We start from the raw sequence: 8,886 nt of genomic DNA, 5'->3' as shown, positions 1-8,886 counted from the left end.
ACTCTATTAAAGGATATGAAAAAAGACATAACTAATAGAAGAGAATTACCATGGGATGACATAATGTTTTAAAGATGCCAGTTCTCCCCAAATTAATTTGTGTATTCAGTGCAACCACAGTAAAAATTTCAGTAAGATTTTTTGCATACCTCAACACACTTACTCTAAAGTTTATTTGGAATTTATTATAAATATATGTTGATTTAAAAAATAAATGTGTGCTTTCATAGTATTATGCTGTGTTTTTTAGTAATTAGTTTTTGCATTCTTATGGATGGGCAGTTGATTGAAAGCAGCAGAGAAGACAGAAGAGAGCAGCAGAGTTAAGTGTTTTGGTTAGAAGTGATAGAAATTGTAGTGGTAGCGCAAGTGGCACCTCAGCAAAGAAGCATAGAAAAGACAGAAGATAGAGAAGTGAGGTTGTTGGATAAATACATAACTCCTTCCTCAACTCTGGGGAAATGAATAGGTAGGAACAGAGGACAAACACTAGTCTATAATATTGTCCCTGTTGCTATGTCTTGGTAATGATATATACCGTGTCTGGTCCAACAGTCTATATGGAGTACTTACTGTCTGGGGCAATAGTATCTATAGGAGGTATTGAGATGTAGCTCAATAATTGATACTTGTGTAAGTAATGATGACTCAGAAATCAGGAAGACCTTTAAATATATTCTTGATGTTTTGTTTAAAGAGGCAGAGAAATGGGTGTTAATAGTTTCAATAAAAAACAGTTAAAGATATGCCTGCACTTGGGTTAATGCGCATCAATTTAGAGGTATCCAGAGCTACTCATTCTCCCAACTTTCAGGGTCAAACTTTTACTCTGTGTGTTTCTTTTATGTACCATTGTGAATACTTACAAGCTGCAGATAGAATAAAACTATTCTTTATGTTTTTATGGGGACTAGAAGCAAGAGAAAAATGGAGTTGGGGGAAATTAATTTGTATACTCTACTAACAACAGTAATCAACTACATTGACATCATTAACTGGTCATTATGAATTTTTCCTCTTCCAGAGAACCAAGAACCTTCTCAAGGGACAAATTACTAAATATATAACTCTTACTAACAATGTATAACAATTTGGGAAGAAGTTATGTAATCTCAAAGAAAGTGCTAACTACTCATTTGTTAACTTGTATAGAAACTTCTGTTATTCAACGTAGTCCTTTTATTCCTAAATGGATAAGCATTAAAAGAGATTTGTCTTAATTTACTTTCAAAAACTTCTTTAATTAGCATAAAGAAAGGAAAGAAGAATAAGAGTTTCTGGCTTTAAGTTAATTTTTCACATGGAGAATATATGTATAAATAATTACAGTATCATGTTAATAGATACTGGTAAAGTGTCTGAGGTTTCATCAAAAGGGAAAGAAAGCAATTGTGCTAGATATAAATCAGGGAAGGATTTATTTGAGCTGGAAGTAAGTAGAATTTTGATATTGTGATTATGCATGTACACCAGAAGATGGTGTGTCACAGTTTTGTCCATTCTCTGATGTTGGATTTTTATGCATACTTAAAGGGAAGAGACATACTATGTGTTTCTGCAGGTAGCACACATTATGCCAGGCCCTTCATTTACACTGGTGTACTTTATACTTAAAACAACCATGTGAGGTTAATCTTACTAACATCATATGATGAGGAAACAAAGGCTTAGAGAAAACAAATGCATGCTCAAGGTCATGTAACTAGGGACTAAAGTTGTTTCTCTGTTGCAATAATCTTAGGATCTTCATTGGCTAGGTATTATCTGAATGTTTCCAGAATTCTTTAGCAGGGCATGCCATTCTTGTAAAAGAATGCTATAGTTGTTAAATGTGAGAAAGGTAGGTCTCCTAGCCCAGAAATGAGAATTAAGTGGCAAGATTTGAACTGTTCTCTTTGCCCTCATTTTGAAAAAAAAAAAAAACAAAATTATACTGAAGAGAGTAAGGCGACTGACCTTGAGCTGGAAAGCAAGGAACTTTCACAATGTGCCTGTATAGTTATATTTCACTTTTGGAGAGTTGTAGTATAGTTATCTTAGCAGTATTTTTGACAAGGCTTTCATCATGCCATCAATACCTGCTGGGCAGGGATCTAGTAAGATCCTAATGCTTAATTCAGATGTAAGCCAGGATATTTTGTATTCTTTTTGCTGTTGTTTATTTCCCTTTTATTTTTCGTTAGCATTTTGTAAAATCTTTTAGAAAATTCAAATGAATAATATAGGACCTGGCATATAGCATTTGGGCAGTAGATGTTAGTTGAAGGAATGCTAGAGTGTGTCAGCAGTGCTAAGAACTAAGGGAAGGAAAGATTTTTTTTTGTTTTTTCTGTGTTTAGACCATAACTTTTAGTAAAGATCAGGGTGCCCCAATGGACCAGTATAGGGATGAAGCAGCAGAGAAGGTGTAATCAGGAGGTGATACTCATGTGCATAGAGTCCAGTGTTTTTGAACAAATTATCCATTTTCCATCAGTGAACTTGGAGATTTTTTTGTTTCATTTTTACAAAGGCATTTGATTCCTTATAATGATGCTGATGAAATGGTTCAGGAAACTAAATGTCATGTCTGTGATCTCATAATCTGTTAGAGAGTTCTGTTGTTTTAGAGAATTTAGTTCAGGTTTTGAATTTGCTACAGGATAGTAAGGTTTTGATTGCCAATTTTTGAAAAGGCTTCATGGCTGCCTAGTTTTTGTTTTTGTTTTTGTTTTTGTTTTCAGTTTCCATGTTGATTAGTTAGTCACTGGATACTGAACTGCTAAAGAATTAGATTTCTGTTACAGATTTTGGCATTATAAAACTCTTTGGTTTGTGTATAGGACTTGGTTGGAACGTAACCTTAGTCGGTTTTTGGTTCTTTGTATTTTGCTTAGTGTGTGAACTGGTTCATGAGCTTTTTCATTTGGGTGCTTCACTGGGACATCAGTCTGAAGTAGCTACCTGTAAGATTTTTGTTTGTTTTTGTTTTTGCTTGTTGTCTGTGTTGGAAGAGTTGTATAGAAGTTAGGAAAGATATTCGGGGACATTTTTAGGTCGTGTGATTCTCAAGCCTGATCTAGAAGGATTAACTAGATGCCTTAGTATGAAGCATACAGATTGGATTGCCATATTCAGATGCTGTAACTAAACATCTCATCAAGCAGTAGTAGGTTTATATTTTTTATGGTATCCATCCAGACTTGATTAACAGTTGACAGATTTTAGGTTTCCTACTATTGTGGCTCTTTATAAAAATCCCTGAAAATCTGTATATCTTTGGCTTTATTTCCATTTAGTTTTGTTTTTAAACCAGTCTTCTACCTAATATTTTGTTTCATGTTGATTGTATTACCTAGCAAGCATGTCTGTGATTATAAAAACAATATAGTAAAAAGAAAACCCCAGGTTATTGATGTGCTATATATGTGTGTATACTTTAAACAGACCTAGTTTTACTTTTATGTGGAATAATCAGGAAAATGTGTGTAACAGTTCAACAGTAAAATGAATCTTACCAGTTAGAAAATCAATACAGAGATTCAAGCTTTTCCTCTGCTTAAATATCTACTGTTCCGTATGATGTCAAACCAAACTGTGATTCCTAAAAATGCATAACTGATGACATTTTTAAAGTAGAGCAAAAATTTTGTTCAGAAGCTTAGAGGCAGAGAGGGGGGAAGTGCCTTGATATTTATCTAGTCAGCTTCCTTGCTTTTCGTCTATAAGGTGATAAACACTAGTGATGTCTTTGAAATCTTGAAGCATTATTTTTGTGTTCCTTTTGTTGAAATTTTATGCAAACATTTAAACAGAAGCTAATAGTATAACTTGAAAAGCTTAGCCTATATGCTGTTTTAGCACCTGAAGCTTTAGTGTTCTGAAAGATTCTGACAGCAGTAGTATGACTTTCTCAGAAGTTGTAGCAAAGACCATGTCATTATTTTGGTAGGCTGTGATACAGATTTTAAATTATGATACAGACAGTCAGTATTAAACCAAGGGAAGACCATTTGGAATGAATACTCTGTTTACATTTATCTCCAGTGCATGGTAGTGGTGACACAGTGTGGAGGTAGGATTGGTAGTGCTTCTAGGGCCAAAGAAGGCTTTTAATTTAGGGAAATTCTGGAGCTGAGAATGGTTGATGTTACCAGAGTTTATAAAAGAAGTAAAAATCTGGATGGGCTCTGAGCCCAGAAGTACAATCTGAGCTGTATCATCCATATTTTTTATTTTCTGTATTTTATGATGCTTTGACATCTTGGGGCCTTGCTGGCTTGCGGGCAGACTACTCCTCCAGGGCTGGATAATTCCCAGAGATAGCAAATGACTCTCCTGTGAGCATTTTCATATGTAAAACAGCCAATCTAGAGCCCATACTGCCAGCTACCTCCTTTATTGAGCTTTCACAGATTGAGCCACTATCCCCCTACCCTAACTTACACCCCAGGGCCAGGTAACAGGCAACTAGGGATGGTTCTTACACCCTGGAGCCCACTGAAATTTCTCAAACCAGCCAGTCCTAAACTGTTTACCCTGCCCTGCATTGGCCTTTTCTGCTGAAAACCATAATAAAGGCTTGTGCCATGCTTTCCCCTGTCTCCTTCTGCCTCCTGACTGACCCTGGTGCCTTCCCATATGGACCTGTGCTTCATGGCATGCCTCCTCCTCCTAGAACTGCGAGTAATAAACTCTTCTTCCCAAGGCAGTTGTCTCTGTGCCTGTCATTTTATCACACTCAAAGAAAACAAAACCTGGGTACATTTTAAGACGTGAGCCAGCCTTCTTCTGGAGTACCCTTTGCTGTCTCTGGCTAAGCCTCAATTCAAGCTCATAATCAAGATGGATAGAAACCTTGGGCACCCACAGTGATTCCACTGTCACAGGAATTTCTCAATGTCCACACCATGTTATGGATATTAAGAAGCCCATACAGGACATCTCTTTTGAGAAGTAACAGGTTTGGCTGGATGAAGTTAATCATCAGCCCTCTGCTTTTTCAGGATTGGCTTTAGCTCTTGGAGGAAGCGGGGATGGGCATGGGGAAAGGTCAAACAGTGGTGGCTATAAGTCCTGGAGCAGCTGCTCATGGCTGCAGAAGGTGTGGAGCCTTCTGCTCCTTACGATTTGAAAACACCCCATGAATTTCTGTAGCAGGAGTTTATTGTCATACTTTGTGTTGAAACCTGTGGCAACCTCGTCTGGATCCTAATGCATAAACAAGGATGTTTCACTAGAAACATTGTAGGAATAAACAAAATGTTTACTGAAGAGTGATACTGTATAATTCTATCAAAAATGTACTTGTTATTATAAAAAATGTAAACGGGGGAAAATGGACAAACCCCCAAAAATTTAGTGTTCGTTAGTTATATTTTAAGTGAGATATTTATGTAAGAGGTTCATAGCAATATCTGGATTAGAAATGTCCTTAGAAATTTACATTACAATTTCCGTGGTCCAAACTACTTTTCATGGTTAAAGAAGTTACAGACTTACTTGCAGTGGCATTACTTGTAGCTAAATATCATGGAAGACGCTAATCAGTGCATTTCTTACTTAGATTTCCCCAGGAATATAGTCTCATTGAATATTGATAAATTGACACCCTCTTTTCAGATGTGGCACTCCTGGGAATAACTGAAATGTGAAACTTACAGTCTTATCTTACTTGTGTTAATAAATTTAACTAACGTAGAACAGTATCAGTTCAGAGCTTTCCCAGTGAAGCTGGTGAAGCCCTCAGCCCCCACCAACTTCCTAATCTCTTAAGTTTCAGTCACGTTCCTTTGAATGTAGGGATGTTTTTTTCATTAGGTTTCCCACCTCGGCAGCTTGACCTCTGCTTCCGGTAGGAGGTTGATTGGTAACTGCTGGATAACCTCTGACATGAGCTAGCTTACTTTGCCTGCTTTCAAAACTACTAGATCTTTCTCTGTTTTCTTTCTCTTATCACTGTTATCGGCTATTTTTTCTCAGCATTCGAATGGGTTTTTCTTTGCTAGCAGTCACTTTGGGTCTACTCATTCCTCTTAGCCCTCTGAATCCTATCTCTGTGGTACATTGTTTATATTATAGCTACAATGAAAAACCCTGATAGTTTCCTCTTCCATCCTCCTTCTTATGTCAATTCCTAAAATACATTTCCCTGCGCATAATGTGTTGTTATGAGCTTCTTTCCCTACTTTTTAAAGAAATATTATTTCTTGTTATTTGCTTAAAAGTCTGGGTGGGTATTAAGGTCTATGATTCAGAAGAAAAAATCTTATAAATAAATGATGAAAAACCACACCTAGCATCCTAAGGGCGGTACAAGAGAGTTCCCAGGGGCTTACAAAGTTAGAAGTGAAGTCTGAAGAGGCACCAGCATGCGTCAGCTGTATATTGACAACATTTGTTTTACGTGGAGAGACCACAACCATGTATCCTCCATTGATTGGCTCTGGTACCTTTTAGGTAGGCTTTGTGAATTGTTTAGGTGCAGGTTTTATGTCTTATGGCTGGAGAGATAAAATGCCAGAAAACTCTTCTTAGGAAATATGTAGAATGAAAAAGAGCATTGAAAATGTAAGTAGAATCATGGATCTTATTTGGCTGGGGACAGATGGATTGAAGCAGCAAAAAAGGTTAATAGAAGCTGGTAGAAAGTCTTGAACAAATGTACAGTAAGTTAAATTTTGTGGGGACCTTGGTTTTTCATATATTATGCTTGTTTAAAATGGGTGGGAAGGAAGAAATGACAGTATTATTTAATTATTTAAATGTCATATATTTGATCCCTGGGGTCTGAATTGCCAAGAGGTAAGTTAATGGGTCTGGAATTTGATTTCACTCTATAAGTAAACTTTTACTATTTCTTGGATGCTTCTACATGTCATGTAGAAGGCATGAGACTCCTAAGTCAGAGGCAAAGGACCTTATTACTCATGGCATAGAAACAGCATGAGCATTAGCATATTTTCTTCAGTTCTCCTTGCCTCCAAGTTTTATGGGGGTGATAGAATATGTTACGGATAGATGCTGTACATATAGTGGACTGGAGCTGAGGAGCTCTGGGCATGGAGGATCCATTGCTTTTATAGTAAGCAAGGCTGCTCTTTGTCCTGGAGGGTGACTACCTCATTTTTCAAGGTAGTTCATAGCAGACACAACCCTGACAAACGGCCCTGGTAACAAGTGGTCAGGATCTTGCATTCTGGCCATACCCAGCAATATGTACAGGATTGGGAGAAGACCCATCAATGAATGTCTTCCAGCAGGTTATATTAATATTAAGAATCAATAAATATTCTTCTATTTTCTTATGATTTAAAATGATGAATATTGTATTTAAAGAACAATTAACTGAAGGAAATTTTAAAATGAAAAATTCTTCTGGTGAAGTTCAGGCCATGTATTTCCTTAATTGTATAAAAATTATAAAACATCAGCCTCACCTGTCTTTTCAGAGCGATACACACATACTTGATGCTTCCCTTTCTTAAAAATGATCTGAACTTTAAATGTGTTCATGTCACTTTTAAGTTTACTTTATACTAAACTTCATAATAGCAGTGTACTTACAATAAGGCATTATGTTAGGTAGTCATGATGCAAGTAGTTTTGGGATGCTTAGTATTTCATAGACCCTGAAGTTGAAGAAGTGATGCTGGAGGATAAAATGGAGTATTAAGGAGTTTTAAAAGAATACTTAAGGACATCAGAAAAGGTTAATGATAGAATGTTAACTGAAAAAAAGTTTATGTAATTTGCATATTCAGCATGAACCCTGAGTTTAAAAAAATTATATACACAAGTATGTGTGTATGGCAAAAATTCAAAGGCAGTGCTGCAATATATTAATAATTTACCTGGATGGCAAAATTTCTTAATTCTTGGTTTCTTTGAGCAGTTTGCAAATTATGTAAGCATGCATTAATGTTATAATTAGGAAATTTTTTAAATTTTGATTTAATTTTATCAGTGTTTTGTACACATTTTATCAGTGTTTTACAAGCACATTGTTTAAAGAGTACCAGTCAGATAGGCCTATGAGGCTTGTAATGGAGGACGACAGTGGCTACTATTACCCTTATCTCATTTCCTGCTTCTTGTAGACAAACAACTTCAACTATTTTAGCTGATTTTTTTTGGTGTTTATTGTCATAAATCCAAATAAGTTTATATTGCTGCTACTTGATTTTTTTTTTGACGCTATCTATTGACTTCCCACAGTGGAAGATAAGAACTCTGTCCTCTTACCTGTCCTGTTTTTTTTTTGTTGTTGTTGTTGTTTTGTTTTTGAGACAGGGTCTCACTCTGTCACCCAGGCTGAAGTGCAGTGGTGCGATCATAGCTCATTGCAACCTCCACCTCCTGGGCACAGTGATCTTCCCGCCTCAGCCTCCCAAGTAGCTGGGACTACAGGCTCACACTACCATGCTCAGCTGATTTTTAAATTTTTTTGTAGAGACAAGATCTCAGTATACTGCTCAGGCTGGTCTCGAACTCCTGGGCTCAAGCAATCCTCTTGCCTCGGCCTTCCTAAGAGTTGGGATTGCAGGTGTGAGCCACACTGCACCTGGCCATCTATCTTGTTAATGTAGTCACATACACATTTCTTGTCTTCCCATCCTCCCAGTACAGTTATTCTAATTTTGATTATATCAGTATTTAATGTTTACATGATTATGACTAAATGCTATTTATAGTTTTGCCATGTAGTAGTATTCTATGGTTACTTTTTCTTTCTTGTACACAGTTTTATTTTCAGTGGAATACTTATACTTGTTAAAAGGTAGGTTTGTTTTCTATGAACATATCATTGGTTTATCCCCAAACTCTATTCTGTTTGTAAATACCTTCTTAACTATTCTATTAATTTCATGTTCTTAATGATGTAGCTCTCAGATTCTTCTAACTTGT

General features: G+C 36.4%; 1 protein-coding gene across 88 annotated transcripts in view; it reads left to right on the top strand.

The window, feature by feature from the left end:
- SSBP2 (single stranded DNA binding protein 2) overlaps positions 1–8,886 on the top strand; it is a 339,004-nt gene that overhangs the window by 27,487 nt on the left and 302,631 nt on the right. The gene's annotated exons all lie outside the window — the stretch shown is intronic.

The sequence above is a fragment of the Homo sapiens genome, chromosome 5 (assembly GCF_000001405.40).
Source record: "Homo sapiens chromosome 5, GRCh38.p14 Primary Assembly".
NCBI lineage: Eukaryota > Metazoa > Chordata > Mammalia > Primates > Hominidae > Homo > Homo sapiens.
Note: the sequence above shows the minus strand (reverse complement) of the source record. Positions and strands in the feature narration are given on the sequence as shown.